The 18,949-nt window shown below is 37.4% G+C and overlaps 1 protein-coding gene across 14 annotated transcripts in view; it reads right to left on the bottom strand.

Moving 5' to 3' along the window:
- Positions 1-18,949, bottom strand: part of CCDC158 (coiled-coil domain containing 158) — a 108,831-nt gene that overhangs the window by 10,969 nt on the left and 78,913 nt on the right. For 11 of the 14 annotated variants that reach the window (XM_011531911.2, XM_011531917.2, XM_011531909.3 and 8 more), the window contains 5 exons: positions 10,003-10,160; positions 8,425-8,484; positions 7,337-7,396; positions 4,893-4,960; positions 1,850-2,008 (listed from right to left, as the gene is read on the bottom strand). In XM_011531911.2, coding sequence (XP_011530213.1) covers positions 1,850-2,008; positions 4,893-4,960; positions 7,337-7,396; positions 8,425-8,484; positions 10,003-10,160 — 505 coding nt within the window. Of the gene's footprint in view, positions 1-1,849; positions 2,009-4,892; positions 4,961-7,336; positions 7,397-8,424; positions 8,485-9,957; positions 10,161-18,949 lie in introns of those variants that run through there. The other 3 variants (XM_005262974.5, NM_001042784.1, XR_938729.3) reach the window with 2 other exon arrangements.

The raw sequence follows: 18,949 nt of genomic DNA on the forward strand, positions 1-18,949 counted from the left end.
AAAGTACTTAATTGACAATCTGAAGATTTAAATTTTGATCTTAATCCCTGCCTAGCTGTATAAATTTGACAATATTTTTAATGGTTAATTTTCTTATCAAAAAATACCCTTTTCATTACAGCATTCAAGGCAATTATCTAGGAATTACTCCAGTTTAAGAGAATGAGAAACAGTTTCTTGGAGAGTTTCTTTTTTTTTTTTTTTTGAGACAGAATTGTTGCCCAGGCTGGAGTGCAATCATGGGATCTCAGCTCATTGCAACCTCTGCCTCCCGGGTTCAAGTGATTCTCCTGCCTCAGCCTCCCAAGTAGCTGGGATTACAGGCATGTGCCACCACGCCCGGCTAATTTTGTATTTTTAATAGAGATGGGGTTTCTCCATGTTGGTTAGGCTGGTCTTGAACTCCTGACCTCAGGTGATCCACCCACCTCAGCCTTCCCAAGTGTTGGGATTACAGACATGAGCCACAGCGCCCAGCCAGAAGTTTTTAACATAAATAATATAAAATATAGGTTTGATGAGTATCTGACAATAAGCGGGGGGTTGGGGGTGAGAAGAAAATGCCATGCCTTTATGTAACAAAAATTAATAATGAAGTGTCAAGCAGCATTGCTCTATTCCTGCAATAACCACAGCTTTAAAAGGTAACATGGAGGCCGAAGCAACTCCATCTTGGATGCTAATCTGCCAAGTTGACTTCTGATTAATCCCAGTTCCAGGAAGGCATCCAAGATTTCCAGTTTCCTTGTACGGCAGGTAGCAAGTACCTGCCATAAATTCTACCCTTAAGCAATTGTCCTGTTCATCCTTTCTGAGGCAAGTATACCCTTTACCTATGGTATAGAGGCCCTGCATCTGCGGGGATAGTGGTACAAGGATCCACCACCTTGTTTCACTGCTGCAGAGACACAGACATGGCTCCAATCTTAAGTCCCTATTAAATGTTTCTTTCTGAGAAATTGGATTTGTCAGTCTCTTTCTTCAGCCTCTCAGCTTCCTCAGTCTTTGTGGGTAGGTTTGCACACACTTGCCCACCACAGAACAGGAAAGTAATTTCACAGTTAAAATTGAAGAAGATAGTAAATGAATAGCTTAGAAACATAAGAGATGAAAGAGGACACAAGTACAGAAAAAAAGATGTAAAAAATGTACTAACATGTGATTAGGTATTTTTTAGGATCTAGAAATGTGTAAGCTATAGAATTTCAAAAGACTAAGAAATAACTTGATGATAATACAACTTTGTCTAGTTTATCTCTTACAAAAGGGAATGATGTCATAGAACACTGGGGTTGTTTGGTCACTGTCATACATGATGAGAAATATTTCAAGTTCATTCAACACATAATATTTAACTCTCACTTATTTACCAGGCATTTATTCTAAATCAAACATTTTTTTCTCATTTGTCTTATCAAATAACAAACTAACTTAAAATATTAAAAATGAGAAAATTTTGAAAAGTTTGTACGGTATGCACTTATACTCACTAAGGCAGAGACTGAATAAGAGCTATGATTTCAAAGAATGTAAATAAGAAAGAAAAGTAGTTCACAGCATTTAAAAGAGGATCCAAAATCTTTTAATAAAATAGAGGCAAAAATGTTCATTATTCATTTAGAGAAAAAGAGAGATAATGTTTACATATAATATCTATGTACATTTACTAAGGCTTGCATGGTACACAATAGCTGTTCTATTTAAAAAAGACCTGTTTAAATTACACAGAATCAGTTAGAGCTTACACATAAGAGCAGCATGCAAAACCTTAATTCTGAGTAAAAAGAACTTACAGTTCAGCAGTGTAGGAAATCAATTAATCACGTCAATGATATCAGATCTTTCTTACCTTTAACAGAATCAGATGAATGAATAGGTTTGGCAGATCTATACTGTGATGTGGAACCTATTGAACCTTCAACTGAACTAGTTAGGAGTGAGTGCACTGGAGACTTCTTAGGAGAAGAATTGAATGAACGAGAAGCTGAGTTTTTCACAGATGGACTTGCTAAAAGTTTGCAAGAATAAAAGTAAAAGGACAGAATTAATTAAAAATAGCAAACTGCACCTCTCAAAAAGTCAAGCTTTCATGAGAAAATGTTCCCAATGGTGGAGGGACAGGGGGACATTCTTCTAAATACCCAAGATTTGGGGTTGGAACTGAAAAGGGTTACGCCTTGGGAATAAGGGTGAACAGAAATTAGACCTGCCCTTGGGATCCTGAGGTCTAGCTTCAAATCCTCTTTCTAATGTGATTAAATTGACCTGGATGCCTTAGTTGTCTACCAAATGCAAGCATGAATGCTCCCTAGAGTAAGGTAATCTCATTCATAGCATGAAATCATCTGTACAACTTTTCATATATAATATGTCATACAATAAAAATAACCAGGCATATAAGGAGACAAGATGATATGGCAGAAAATCAAGAAGAAAAAAATATAAATAACGACATAGATCTATAGGGTCCAGATAATGGGCTTATCAGGCATAGACTTCCATAGATTCAAGCAGCATTACTTCAAACTCCAAGTGAATTCTTCTTATCTGCATGAAAAAATCATATCTGCACAAATGAATAAAAGCTGCTAAAACAAACCAATCAAAAACAAAAACAATCTTAAAGCAAAAGGGGAAAAAAGGAACAGACTATATTTAAATAAGCAATAATTAAACTTACAGCTGACTTCTTAGTAGAAACAATGAAAGCTAGAAAACAATGGAAAGTGATATCTTCAAAGTGAAGAAAAAAATGCCAATCTAGAATTCTATACTCAGCAAAAATATTCTTCAAAAATTAGGATGAAATAAACACAATTTCAGAAAAACAAAAATGGAGAGAATTTATCACCAGCAGATTTACATTAAAAGAAGCTTTAAAGGCATAAGTAAAATGATACCAGAAAGTTAAGTGTAAATATGTGGGTATATCTAAATGAATATTAACTGTACAAAACAATACAAATAATTAAATGTGGTATTCATATTTTTATAATTCATATTTTTAATTAAAATATATGACAATTGTATGAAAGTTGGAAGGATAGTGAATGCAGTTAATATATTCTAAGGTACTGCCAATGTATGAGAAAAGGTAAAAGCATTCATTTATATCAATATAATAAGGCAAGGATAAATGTTTTACTGTCCTGAGTAATCACTGAAACAATAGTAAAAAACATATAAACGAAGTAAACCTGAAGGAATTAACTTCACATAAATGTTCTTTTCTTCAAAATATTAGTTCCTCAAAGATCTTCCCCAAGCCAAAGATTATTTAAAAATTAAGAATTTGCAATTATTTTATTTAAGAATATTACATTTTGATTATAAATATAGTTACAATTAACAATGGGGATATGTTCTGAGAATTGCGTTGTTAGTTAATTTTGTCATTGTGCAACCATCATAGAGTATACTTTCACAAACCTAGATGGTATACAGGCTATATGGTATAGCTTATTGCTTCTAGGCTACAAACCTGTAGAGCATGTTACTGTACTGAATACTGTAGGCAACTGTAACATAATGGTAAGTATTTATTTATCTAAATATGTCCAAATATAGAAAAGGTAACACACTGTGGTATGACATTATGATAGCTACAACATCACCAGGTATCAGGAATTTTTCAGCTCTATTATAATCTTATGGGACCTCTGTTGTATATGACATGGTCATTGACCAAAACATTACGCAGCACATGACTGTATATTGACACGAAGAAAAACAATGAAAATTTATCTTTCTCCCATCTCTTTTTACCTTACCTCAATTTTCTCTATTTACAATTTACAGTCCAGATTTATAACTACATTTTTGTTGAACAATCATCATCACAGTTTCATTCTTTCTCATTTATTTTGTTCTCTTCCATAGGAAGACCAATTACGTGTCTGTTGGTTTGCCTTTGCCTTCCAAATCTAACATATTCTGTATAATTATTTTTGGTCCTTATTTTTAAAAATTCCTTTTGTGTAATTTTCTCCATGGCTATAATTTCAGTCACATCTATTTTATTTTTCATTTTCTAAAACTTTTTCCTCTGATGTTTTTAATCTTTCTCTTCCATTTCTAGTCTGAGTTATGCCACTTTGCTTATCAACAAATTGTGTTGACTTTCAATCTCTTCTTTCTGGAGCTTTTTAATTTTTAATGGAGATCATCTTATCTATAATTCTTTGGAAATTTTATGGAGAGCTGTCCATCTTGATTCTTCTGCTTTTCCTTTTGTCTATTCAATAAATATTTATTCAGCACCTGCTATGTGCCAGGAAGGCTCCAGGCACCTGGGATATATCCAGGAACCAAATGGCTAAAGACATCTGCCCTTGCACAGCTCTTGTCTCACAGGGGTGACACAGTATGTGAGAAGATGCTAAGAGTAACTGATAAAAGGAAGAAGGAGCACTGGAAGTGTGGGAAAATCGTGATTTTTATTTTATTTTAATTTACTTTTAGAGACAGGGTTTCGCCATGTTGCCCAGACTGGTCTTGAACTCCTAGGCTCAAGCAATCCACTCACCTTGGCTTCTCAAAGTGCTGGAATAACAGGCATGAGCCATCACACCTGGCTGGTTGTGATCTTTAAATGAGGTGATGACAATTAAGTCCCACTGGGAAAGTGACACCTGGGCAAAGGCTTTAAAGGAGCTGAGGTTTTAGCAACATAAGGGAACAGGGCATAAAAGCCCTAACATGGAAGCTGCCTGACGTGTTCAAGGAACAGTTTGAGAGTGGATAAAACAGAATGCATGAAAGAGGGAGTAGCAGGAAATGAGGCCAGAGAGTTAAAAAGGACTTGGAAGATACTGCAATGACTTTGGCTTTTACCCTCGTGGAAATGGGGAGACATTGTAGGGCCTATTTCTGTGCTTTCATTGGAAACTCACCTGCAGATGTGAATGTGAAGCAACCAGAGGGATCTTCCCTGTCTCCTGCGTGTAATGTGACTGGCTCTCTGGAAGCATAAGAATGGTAATGCAAGCATTCCATTTCACAAACACAGTACTAAGATTCATAGATAGAAGCAAGTGAACACAGGCAAATGTGATGGTTTAAAATATAACCTCAAGATGGCAATCATAACCCTAAAGTCCTAAAATACTCTAAGAGGTAGGTTCAAAGTTGCATTATCTTTTTGTATTCAGAATCCATGAACATTTTACAGAATGAAAATATATAATCTTCATTAGAAAATCCATTTTTGCATACTAATAGCTATAAAATCCACGTCATCTGTTCATGGATTCTAAGAGATGCAATCTTAATGACTCATTTAAAAATAAAGAAATTAGGTCGGGTGTGGTGGCTCACCCCTGTAATCCCAGCACTTTCGGAGGCTGACGCAGGTGGATCATGAGGTCAAGAGATAGAGACCATTTGGCCAACATGGTGAAACCCCGTCTCTACTAAAAATAAGAAAAATTAGCCGGGCGAGGTGGCGGGAACCTGTAGTCCCGGCTACTCAGGAGGCTGAGGCAGGAGAATGGCGTGAACCTAGGAGGCAGAGCTTGCAGTGAGCCGAGATCACGCCATTGCACTCCAGCCTGGGCGACAGGGAGAGACTCTGTCTCAAATAAATAAATAAATGACAATGACAACAACAACTCATAACATTAGTAGTATCAGTGTACAAAACTATAAGACATATAAGTTGAAGTAAACTACATAGTTCTCTGTGAGTTGGGTACCAATATGAGAATATTATGGCAGCAGTTCTCAAAGTGGTTCCCTTTCAGGAGGTTTGTGAGGTCAAAACTACTTTCATTATGATATCAGGTTGTTATTTGCTTTATAACTTTCAGTCTCTCACAAGTGTACAGTGGAGTTCTCCAGAAGCTCCATGATAGTTGATATGCATTTAATCACAACAGATTAAATGCATAAGCAGATATGAGAATCTAGCTGTATTTTCTTAACCCAGTTACTGAAATGTAAAACATGTTTTCTCAATGACGTTTTGGAGCATATAGTTATTTTTCATAATAAAGAAAAAGTTATTTTTCATAATTTCAGAATAAAGAAGTATTACAGTACTTTCATTGCTGAAGGAAGCAGATTTTTCTAGTCATGAAGAAACTCTACTGCAGAGCTTTAATTATCTCAGGGAAGTAGCTTCTATTTGTCCCATGCCTAGGACTGGGCTCCATCCCCAGTAGCTCAGTGTGGGTACTCAGAGGCAGTAAGCAGTGGTCATAAACACGGGCTCAGGAGCCAGCTAAACCTGAGTTCAAACCTGAGCTCCACTGTTTTCAAGCAGTATGACTTTGACAAGTTGCTATGCAATCTGAGTCTTCATTTCTAAGGGAAAATAATGTTTCCCTCATACATGAGATTAGACTAATGAGACAAGTCTAAATCAACTGGAAAATAAGAATTTTTATTAAGAATAAAAATATAAGAATAAAACATATGCAGTTGATAGTTGTGGTTATTAATAGGTATGATATAGTATCATATACCCAGGTGAGACGGAAATAAAAACAACATTTCTTTTAGGCTACAAGAAAGATTTACACTTGGCTAGTCTGCATCCATGGGTTCTGCAATCACAGATTCAACCAAATGTGAATTGAAAATACTTGGGGAAAAAAAAGATGGTTGCATCTATACTGAACATGTACAGGCCTTTTTTCTTGTCATTATTCCCTAAACTATACAATATAACAACTATTTACATAGCATTTACATTATATTAGGTATTATAAGTAATCTAAGAATGGTTTAAAGAATATGGGAAGATGTGTGTAGGTCATATGCAAATACTATGCCATTTTATATAAGGGACTTGAGCATCTGTAAATTTTAGTCTCTGCAGGGGTCCTGGAACAAATCCCCCATGGATACCAAGGGACAACTGTGTTTAGAAAGATTCAAATTCACTGTATTTTGATCAGGCAGCAGAGACAGTATGAAAATATTTATAATACTATCTTCATCCATTCACTAAACAAATATTTACTGAATGGCTACTAGGTGGCAGTCATTATGCTTGGTGCTGAAGATACAGCAATGAATTAGCCCCTATTCTAACTAGATCTTAACAGTAGAATTCACATTCATAATTGTTAATATATATAGAGGGCTCGGATATCTCTGTCTATTTAGGTGGTGAAAACAGAAAAGACAAAAGTAAGTTTTTCCAGGCAGTCCGTCAAAAGACAGACTTCACGATTGTAAGCAACTTGAGGACAGAGCCCATATCTGTCTTGCTCACTATATTCTAAGGGTCTACTGCAGTGCATGGCACATTACAGACAGTTAAAGATCTTTTGAATTAATAATGAACAGTCGTAAAAGGGACATTTTGAAAATGGGGGCTGGTATTTCCTACCTACTAAGAGTTTCACTTGATTTGCTTCCTTCAGTGGAGTCCCTCAACGAGTTGTTGCTTCTGTTGGTAGAGGGATGGGAGAAATCACAGTTTAAATAATGTTATTTCCTTACCAATATAACAAAAGTTTGTGAGAAAAATAATGTATTCTTATGTAGGGTGAAATGGTATCATCTGACAGCTGGATAAATAAATCATAAACATTAACTTAATGATAAAATTGCTTCTCTCAACATTACTTTTAGATAGATATGGATTCAAAAGAGTGAGAATGGGGCATTGGCTCTTCCAGGTGGAGGAAACAGAATGGAGAAAAAGCTTGAAGACAAAAATAAATGAACTTTTGGGAATCAGGAGGAGTCTGGTTTGATTAGAGGATAATACAGGAGTGAAAGCAGAGTGGTCACAAGAGAGATTCGTGTGACCACTCTGGGAGATTCTTCAATGTCAGACTGAGGGACATGTACTTAATGCAGTAGGCAGTGAGGAGCTACTGAAGATTTTCAAGTAATAGCTATAGTGTCTTAAAGTACGATAAATAATGAATTAACATTAGCCTTTTTTCTTTTTTGGCTAAAGTCAATTTTTGAAAGCTGTCTTTGATTATGGTCTTATTTGGAGTTATGGATTTCATTTCTTTGTGCTTTTAAAATTTTTCATTTAAGAATTCAGCTATTCAATTATTGATGAAAATAGGATGGTTTTCAGTAAGGTGCTTATAGTCCTAAATTGAAGTTTTTACAGTTTCCTTCTGAATCATCCTTTTCTCAAAAGTTATGTAAGCCATTGTAAATATGTGTAAATGTAGAAAAAGTCTTCCATTTTTGATATGGCATACCATAATAATAGCTTCATATGGATAAACATCAGCAAATTTTAAAGAAAAAATGTCTATTGAGTTGATTTCTAGAAACTAAATTACTTCAGTACATTTCACTGAAATCTTTCTTAAAGTCAGTTAAACAACGAACCCAATATGCCCATTAAGTGTCATGTAAACTTATGTCCAAACAGACTTCTCAAATTACAAGGCCACATATAAAATATTTGGACAATTAATTTGATTCAGAATCTCAGATTCTTCTTACCTATGGCACATGTCTGATCTCAGGCTGGATTCAGTAATGCAATCTCTTACCCTATCCTCTCTGTATAGAAAATATAACTCTCAGTTAATCATATAAAGCACAATTTCATCCATGTCTTTTTTAGACTAATCAATTGCTTACATATATTCAATTTTTCTTTTAGTGACAGCTGTAGATTTTAGGCCTCCAAGCAAATTTTGCAAAGGGCTCTGGAGTTCATCGACAGAGAAATGCTTTCCTCCCATGAATTCTTAAAAGCTTTACGCTGAGTTTAGGCTTTAGTGACAAGGACATTTATAGGATTATAGCAAATTAACATAAACTCTCTAAAGGTAGGGATCAAATATATTCACGTTCAATACAGTCCAATAGCGTCCAAGCCCATCATTAGTGGCTGGAGTGGTGGAAGCTGATCAGGGAAGTCCTGGTAATCCCTCAGAATAATCAGTGCTGGGAGCAAGGGTCTGTAACTTTTACTTCTGGCTTTTCCTCTGCTTCATAGGAGGAGGCATGTCAATATATGCCTAAGTTTACAAATCTGTCAAATAAGTGTAATAATACTGCCCTGGTTTGGAAGGCATATTATAGTTATGACAAAAATGAAAGTGCTCTGAAAATGAAAATGTTCGTTGGAGTGGCTAGTGGGACAGTTCTGACATTATGTGCTTCAGATAATGTAATGTTATGCTAAGGTAACTGGACTGTTACTAATGTTTTACTATTATTACTAATAATTAACAATTAGATAAACTCAGCTAATATTTTGCTACCTCAGGTAAATACGAATTGGACATCATAAGAAACTGGAGATTATTTATATATAGGTATCATTTCAGGAAGTATTACTTTTAGGTATTTGTCATATAATCAGAAAATGAATATTACAATAATGGGCTATTATAACACTAAAATATATATACCATATTAAAATGCTTTAAGATAAGCTAAGCTAAATGATAACACAAAAAAGTAAAACCCACTCTCTGAAAGAATAGGAGACTCCCATTGTTGTCTGTAGCTATGTGCAAAGAAGGGCTGGTGAACTGGCTAAATTCTTTTTGGATCTAATCTTTTACTAATATGATATAATCAAATCAAGTCATTGGCATGAATACAGAGAAAACGAAGTATTTCCTATTATCTCCTACTTGGAGAGTATATAGTTCTCAAGGTTCTAGTTTTATCTCCACCATTGAACTTGTGGCTGCAGACACGTCGACCTTTTGAGATGTGTTTTTCTCATTTACAAAATGGGATAAATAAACCCTGCTCTGCCTTGTCTCAATCAATAAGATTATGGATATAAAATCTTTTGAGAATTAAAATTTACAAACATAACTTTGGGTGACACCTTGCACTGGGTATTTTCTGAATAGAATGACTGTATTGTTTTCTCTTAGTGTCAAGTTGTTTTACATTTGCTTAACTCCTCCATTTTCATATTATTTTCTGTGGTAGTAACTTCAGATACTTTTAAAGTCATTTAAACCTCACCCTCCCAGAGAGTAACATGTGAATAACTCAATGGCAAACCATTCAAGAGATGAGCTTTCCCATTCTGTGTGCACACAGCCTTACACAGCCACATACAAGGCTCCCAGAGATGTTCTTCCATCTTCCTCTGTCTTGCTCAGAGACACAGCTGGCTCCTCATTGATCACGCTTCTCAACTCTTGGAGAAGCTGTTTCAGGTCCCTTGTTGGATCTTCCTTCAGTGTGTTAGCTTTTGTAGAGTGCTGAGTTAAAACAATTTACAAAGACACTTATTTTTTCAGATTTCTATGCTATTTCCTATCACAAAATTAATGCAACTGGTAAACAGAAATTATGGAAAAGCAAGAAGAGGAAAACAAAAAAATCACCCACAAGCTTATTACACAGAGATAATCAATAATAACCAGGAAATAATCAATAGAGTACTATATCTAATTTATATGTGCATGGACACATATACACATATGGGGCCAAACTACTTACATTTATTTTTAAACTACTTTTGTTTTAAAATTTTAACAATGTAGTATGAACATCCTTACTATGTCATTAAATATTTTCAAGTACACCTGGACAAAATAACTTTCAATACTTTGTTTAAAGCTAAACTAATTTGATAAAGCAACAAAACCTGAGAATTAAGGAGCTATTTAGAGATGAGTTAATCTACTCCCCACATCTTACTGATGAGGAAAGAAACATCCAATATTTTCAAACTGTGTTAGTTGGTGTTTAAGAATAATATGAGATTTTCAGATTGATAGTGTACCCCAATAAATATTTATAATATAATAAGGAATACTGACATTTTCAATAGGCACATCAAGAGGGGAAACCAAATGATCAGAGTGCACTGGTGAGCAGGTAGACTCAGGCTATCCTTGAGCTATTCTAGCTGAAGGAGTCCATCCCACTGAAAAGTTACACCTGTCACACAGATTGGCTGCTGAGGGATGAACACTGCAGATTTTTTATTCACTGGGCTTTAATTTTCTAGGGTTTATGCCAACGAAGAGCTGATGTTACTGGTATAATATAATTCTCATATTCTCCTCTTCTCAACTCCACTAATAAACCAATATAATATCCAGCTGAAGATATGAGAGTTCCAACTCACTGAATGTGTGCTAAGTATGTCTTTCCAGTTTACTGATGGCTATCTTACCTGGAAATTGTCATGATGAGTCAGTCTAAAGTTTCATAAATTAGACTCCACTCAATTATTAAATTTGACTTCATTTGCTTAAAAATATAAGGATGTGAATCACTTTGTCAATTGTGAATAAAAACATTTGTCTCTAAAAAGATGATCCAATTTTACGAAACACTGGTTTTGTTCTTGCCCTCACGCTAATATGCATAATACCCAATATGGAATAAAACCTCATAAAGTTAATAAAGAAAAACTTATCCTATGGCAATATTCACTCACCTTAGTTATAACCTGGACTTCTTATCTTCCCATCTTCTGCCCACCAGAAAGTTTATCAAATAAGCTTTGGCAATTATTGTTAAAATTTTTGAGCCATTGACATTTATTATAAGTGAGCAATGTAAAACCCATAAACATATATAAATATGTTGTTCTCCCCTGTCATTGTGGCACCTAGGTTCTTTGAGAGTGACTGATGCTTTACAATACATAAGGTTTTTTTGTTTTGTTTTGTTTTTTGAGACAGAGTCCCACTCTGTCACCTAGGCTGGAATGCAGTGACATGATCTCAGTTTACTGCAACTTCCATCTCCCAGGCTCAAGCAATCCTCCTGCCTCAGCACCCCCAGTAGCTGAGGACTACAGGCCTGCACCACCATGACCAGCTAACTTTTTTGTAGAATGGAGTTTTGCCATGTTGCCCTGGATGATCTCAAACTCCTGGACTCAGGCGATCCACGCATCTTGGTTTCCCAAAGTGCTGGGATTACAGGTGTGAGCCACTGTGCTGGCTGACATGAGGTTTGAAAAAGCATTCAATTGGCAGGGCGCGGTGGCTCACACCTGTAATCCCAGCACTTTGGGAGGCCAAGGCAGGCAGATCACGAGGTCAGGAGATTGAGACCATCCTGGCTAACATGGTGAAACCCCATCTCTACTAAAAATACAAAAAAATTAGCCGGGCATGGTGGCAGGCACCTGTAGTCCCAGCTACTTGGGAGGCTGAGGCAGGAGAATGGCATGAGCCCAGGAGGCGGAGCTTGCAGTGAGCCGAGATTGTGCCATTGCACTCCAGCCTGGTGGACAGAGTGAGACTCTGTCTCAAAAAAAAAAAAAAAAAAAAAAAAAAAACCATTCAATTTACCATTCACTTAGAAATTAATTATAATCAGTCCTATGACATTCTTTTATTGACTTTATCCCAATACTTACCTTTCAAACTTCTATGTGTGTTGCTCCTCCAGTGAAAATGTAAGCTCCACAGAGGCAAGGACTTGATTTGATCATCATTGTCTTTATATATTCCATTACATATAACCCATAATTTGTTTGGGTATAAAACCACAAAAATATCAAGGCTGGAGGCGTCCTGAAAATCATTTGGTTCTAGTCCAACTCCCATATCAAAAGTGATGAAGAATTCTCTCTACGGCATTCTAGTAATATGCTTATCTGGCCTTTGCTTGATCACCAAAGATCAAGGAAGGCAGTTTAATTTTTGTATAGCTTCAAATCTTTTAAAGAAAAGCTTCCCTCCATACCCATACACCTTCCAACCCTGGTCACAGTTCTAACACCTGGGGTCATAAGAAACAAGCATAACATAACCTTGTAAAAATGATACTTATTTTATCCTACACTCATACACCCCCTCCTTACTTCCTGACACACACCTCAAGCTAAATGTTCTCAGGAAAATTCTGAGCAGAGCAGAGAACTGTCCCCCTTGCTTGATCTGGATGCTATCGTTGAAACCATTTTTGGTTGCCACACAATAACGCCGACTGAGACTGAGCAGGCAGTCAACTCAGAATCCTTATGTCTTTTCCAGAAGTTCTTAATAAGCTTCCTCTTCTGTGTCCTATACCTTGTATTTTTGGGTATTCACTACAACAATAGAAATGTCTTTTTTTTTCCTCTGAGACAGAGTCTCATTCTTTCACCCAAACTGGAGTGCAGTGATGCGATCACGGATCACTGCCGCCTTGACCTCTCAGGCTCAATTGATCATTCTGCCTCAGTCTCCTGAGTAGCTGAGACTATAGGTGCATGCCACCACACCCGGCTATTTTTGGGTTTTTTTGTATTTTTTGGAGAGATGGGGTTTTGCCATGTTGGCCAGGCTGGTGTCCAATTCCTTGGCTCAAGCAATCTGCCCGCCTCGGCCTCCCAAAGTGCTCCCATGTGAACCACCATGCCTGGCCGATTTAAATTTTATTTAGTCAAAATTATCAATCTTTCTTTTTAATGTTTGCATAGCTTATAATGGTTTTATTAATTCATGTTAAATACTTCATTGGTTAATTCATAGGAAATATACCTTGATTTATAAAATGAGCAAAATACACTTTTTAAAATTAGAAAATAGCACTGCTGGGTGTGGTGGCTCATGCCTGTAGTCCTAGCACTCCGGGAGGCCAAGGCGGGTGGATCACCTAGGTCAGGAGCTCGAGACCAGCCTGGCCAACATGGTGAAACCCCGTCTTTACTAAAAATACAAACAATTAGCTGGATGTGGTAGTGCACGCCTGTAATCCCAGCTACTTAGGAGGCTGAAGCAGGAGAATCGCTTGAACCCAGGAGGCAGAGGTTGCAGTGACCCGAGATCGTGCCATGGCACTCCAGCCTGGGCAACAAGAGCAAAACTCCATCTCAAGAAAAAAAAAAAAGAAGAAAATAGCTAGGAAATGGTTCTAAAATATAGTTTCATATAACTCTTATCAGGCTTGTAAAGAAATAAACACATGCTCTTCCTGAAGTTAGCAGAGCCCAACAAAGGATCCTGCTCTCCCCTACCCCAGTCCTTTGATCCTTAGAACAAGGGTCCCCAAACCCTGGACCGGTACCGGCCCATGGTCTGTGAGGAATGGGGCCACACAGCAGGAGGTGAGTGATGGGAGAGTGAGTGAAGCTTCATCTGTCTTTATAGCTGCTCCCCATCACTCACATTACCGTCTGAGCTCCACCTCCTGTCAGATCAGGGGTGGCATTAGATTCTCATAGGAGTGCGAACCCTCTTGTGAACTGCACATGCAGGAGATCTAGGTTGCACACTCCTTATGGGAATCTAATGCCTGATGATCTGAGGTGGAGCTAAGGCAGTGATGCTAGTGCTGGGGAGTGGCTGCAAATACAGATTAACATTAGCAAAAGCCGGGTGCAGTGGCTCACGCCTGTAATCCCAGCACTTTAGGAGGCCGAGGTGGGCAGATCATGAGGTCAGGAGTTCGAGACCAGCCTGGCCAACATAGCAAAACCCCGTCTCTACTAAAAATACAAAAATTAGCTGGGCATGGTAGCGTGTATGCCTGTAGTCCCAGCTACTCGGGGGCCTGAGGCAGAAGAATCGCTTGAACCTGGGAGGCAGAGGTTGTGGTGGGCCAAGATCGTGCCACTGCATTCCAGCCTGAGCAACAGAGAGAGACTCCGTCTCAAAAAAACAAAAACAAAATGAAAAACATTAGCAGAGAGGGTTGACTGCACAAAGACCATAATAAATCAATTGCTCACAGACTTATCAAAACCCTATCAGTATGTGGCAAGTAACAATTAAGCTGCATCTGGTGGCTGGTTTTATAGTGGTAAGTGAGTTGATGTACTTCAACTGTACAGCTGCACCTGGTGGCAGGGTTTAAGTCAGAACTAGACACTGATTTTTGTCCATGTGTGTCCTGCCCATTATTTGATTTACCACTTTGCCTGTACCTCTTTCCTGCACTGCACACTTGTCTCAGTCAGTTTTGGTAAGCCCACAAGAGAACCCTAGCCAAAATGGATAAAAACAATCATCACTGGAAAGCTTCTTTGAAAAGGGGGAAAGACCCAATGATGAGACAGCAGAAGGCTCTAAGACTGCCAACGAAAAGAAAGCTGCATTGAAAAGAAAGCTGCATTGAAAAGAAAATACCAAGAGTCCTACTTAAATTACAGGTTCATTGCAATAGACGGTTCAAATTCTCGAAGCCCTCTTTTTATAATATGTGGTGACCGGCTATCCAATGAAACCATGAAACCTTCAAAACTGCTTTGTCACATGGAGACAAAGGACCATGCATTAAAAGACAAGCCTTTGGAGTTTTTCAAAAGAAAAAAAACCATGAACATGAAGAACAGAAGCAATTATTGAATGCCACCACTTCGTCAAATGTGTCTGCACCGAGAGCATCATTCTTAGTGGCTAACTGTATTGAGAAAGTGAAGAAGCCCCTTACTATTGGTGAAGAGCTGATCCTGCCTGCTGCTACATACATTTGTCATGAACTTTTAGGAGAAGCTGCAGTTCAAAAGGTGACATGTGTTCCTCTTTCAGCTAGCACCGTAACTAGACATACAGATGAAATAGCAGAGAATAGTGAGGCACAATTGTTAGAGAGGGTTAATGAATCACCATGGTACACAACCCAAATTGACAAGTCTATTGATGTTAACAACAAGGCAACAATGCTTGTTTTGTGCTGTGTATTTTTCAGGAGGATGTGCAGGAGCACATGTTATGTGTGCTTTTACTGCCAGCCAACACCACAGCTGCAGAACTATTCAAGTCTTTGAATGTTTACATATCAGGGAAACTGGTCATTTTGTGTTGGTATATGCATGGACAGAGCAGTTGCCATGACTGGACAGCTTTCTGGTTTCACTGCTCTGGTCAAAGAGGTCGATTTTGAATGTGAGTTTATGCACTGTGTCTTCCATAGAGAGATGCTGGCTAGCTGAAAAATGTCACCTGAACTTAACAATGTTTTGCAGGATGTGATTAAAATTATTAACCACACTAAAGTACATGCCTTTAACTCATCTTTTCACACAGCTCTGAGAGGAGATACACCCACAGCATACACGTCTTCTCTTATACACAGAAGTGAGATGGCTTTCTAAAGGTAGATCACTGACCAGAGTTTTTGGGTTATGAGAGCCGCTCCAGAGATTTCTTTTAGAAAAAATCACCACTGGCAGCACATTTCAGTGACACAGAGTGGGTCACAAAACTTGCTTACTTGTGTGACATATTCAACTTGCTCAACAAAATCTATCACTTCAGGGGAGAACAACAACTATGTTCAAGTTGGCAGATAAAGGGGCTGCATTCAAAGTCAAACTGGAATTATGGGAGCAATGAGTTAACATTGGGATTTTTGACATGTGTCAAAATTATCAGAGATTTTGAAAGAGGCTGTGCCAGGGCCTCCTTTCTCCCAGCTAGTGCATGATCACCTATCTCAGCTTTCAAAAGAGTTTAAGCATTACTTCCCAACCACAAAAGGCCCCCAAACTGGGAAGGAATGGATCCGTCACCCATTTGTGAATAAACCAGGTGCACTGGCTTTGTCCATGCTAGAAGAGGATCAGCTTCTTGAGATTGCAAATGACAGTGGCCTTAAAAGTATGTTTGAGACAACTTCAAATCTCCCTATATTCTGGATTAAAGTCAAGGCAGAATATTCTGAGATTGCCACAAAAGCATGGAAAAGCCTGCTTCCATTTCCAACATCCTATCTTTGTGAAGCAGTGTTTTCTGCAGTGACAGCAACCAGATGAGATTAGGGAGTAGACTGGACATAAGCAACACCCTTCGGGTGTCACTGTCTCCCATCACCTCCAGATGGGACCATCTAGTTGCAGGAAAACAAGCTCAGGGACCCCACTGATTCCACAATATGGTGAGTTGTATAATTATTCCATTATATATTACAGTGTAATAATAATAGAAATAAAGTGCACAATAAATGTAATGCACTTAAATCATCCCAAAATCACCCCCCGCCTCAACCTGTTCCATGGAAAAACTGTCTTTCATGAAACTGGTCACTGGTGCCAAAAAGGTTGGGAACTGCTGCCTTAGGAGACACATTAAGGCTATTTCTAGGGCACATACATTTGCAGGGTAAAACTTGTACAGCTTTTTGTGCTATGGGAAGAATACAAGCTTATACAATAAGTTGTTAAGCTTAAGGTTTATTTTGTGGTTTGGTTAGTTTCCTATTACATTGTGACTCTGAAAACATTGACTCTGAAATCATTTTATGTTAGACTTGTTTCTAAAATTTTTCATAAATTATATCTTTAATGTACTTCTATCTTCTCCAATACTGTTTTTTCTAATGGCCTTAAGTCTATTACAGGCAAACTTATGAGTCATCAGTCATGATGTAAGATAAGTGAGGCCTAGGGAGAGTGTACTCCTCAACCAGTTCTGTCTCCATTCTCCAAAGATAGAAGATAAATGAAAAAGCTAAAAATAACAGCTTGATCTCATTCAGCTTGAATTCAACCATTCTATTTTGAGAATGTCTGCCCCAAACTCATCTCTTATATTTTAGAACATTGTAATAAAAATGGAATATAAGTATACCATTTACATAATATATTAGGAATAGATGGACAGGAAACAGGAAAAAAGTTACGAAGCATTGCTAAAAATCTTGCCCACATCATGTATATTTCATTGGCAAAGATCAAGCACAGTAGTAACAAATTGTAGTGCATAGGAATAGAATCTGATACACAACCAAAATCAATTCTATCATCCTAGATATATTTTATTTCTTATGTTAAAATAGCCTGTATTTGAAATATTAATCTAAAATGCTCCTATATCAAACTATCAGTTACATATATGTGTATATGTATGTATATGTGTATGTGTGTACACACACAAAGATACAGTAATAACATGTTCTAGGTGTTTGAGTTTGGGCCAAATCACATAATATTACTTTTCTGGTTTTCCTACTTTCTTACTTTTAACACAAGAAAATCACCTGGATAATTTCAACTGCCTTTGAATCTTTAAAACTCTATGATCCTCATTCACAAAGACTAATGAAATACAATAATAGTTCATATAGGGTATCTATTTACGTCATCAACTTAAAATTATTTTTATAAACATCAATCAGCTGTATAATGTAGAGAAACAGTACAGTATAATAATTAAGGACATAAGTTCTGGACTCAGGCTGTCTGGATAAGTCCTGCCGAAATTATTACTATTATTATTATTTTTTTTTTGAGAGAGAGAGTCCTACTCTGCTGCCCAGGCACTGCAACCTCGTACTCATGGACTCAAGCAATCCTTCTGCCTCGGCCTCCTGACTAGGACTACAAGCAAATGCCAACATGTCTGAATAATTTTTTTATTTTTTGTAGAGACGAGGTCTCACTACTTTGCCCAGGCTGGTCTCAAACTCCTGGTCTCAAGCAACCCTCCAGCCTCAGTCCCTACAAAGTGTTGGAATTTCAAGCATTAACCACAGTGCCCAGACTCAAGTGTCTTTTTGCTGTGTAAACCATGTGTAAGTCACTTAGCTTCTTCAAGCCTCATTTCCCCTGTCTGTAAAACAGGTATAGTAATAGCACTTACCTCATGTTAAGTAGTTGTGGGAAATGAACTAATCTCCAAAGTACTTTGCACTGTGCCTGGCAAAGGAGTTTTCAGTAAATCTAAGCTATTATTAGAATTGTAAAATAAAGAGACTAAAATAAAGATAAATAATAAATGAAGGGGCAATGTAGAACAATGTAAACAGTAATATTCTGCTTATAAACTTGGCATTAATTTCTGTACTATCTTAAGCCCCACTAAAATGACACTAAAGGAATTAAGAAGGGTAAAGAGGAAAGGACAGATAATAATAGATTAGTAATGCTAACAAAATTTTGGGAGATGGCAGGCATATGGATAATTCATAATTAATTTAGCAAAATGAAGTTAAAACTTACAGTACCTGCACAGAAGCTGCCAATGTGAAGCAAGCTACCATGCCTCTGAGTATTCCAGGAAGGCTCACGAATTGGAAGTCTCATGTATTTCAAAGTCCAGGGTAAGAAACAGGGCAGCAAAATTGGAGGATTGGCTAAGTCTATAGGAGAAGCTGTTAG

Source organism: Homo sapiens, chromosome 4, assembly GCF_000001405.40.
Source record: "Homo sapiens chromosome 4, GRCh38.p14 Primary Assembly".
Lineage (NCBI taxonomy): Eukaryota > Metazoa > Chordata > Mammalia > Primates > Hominidae > Homo > Homo sapiens.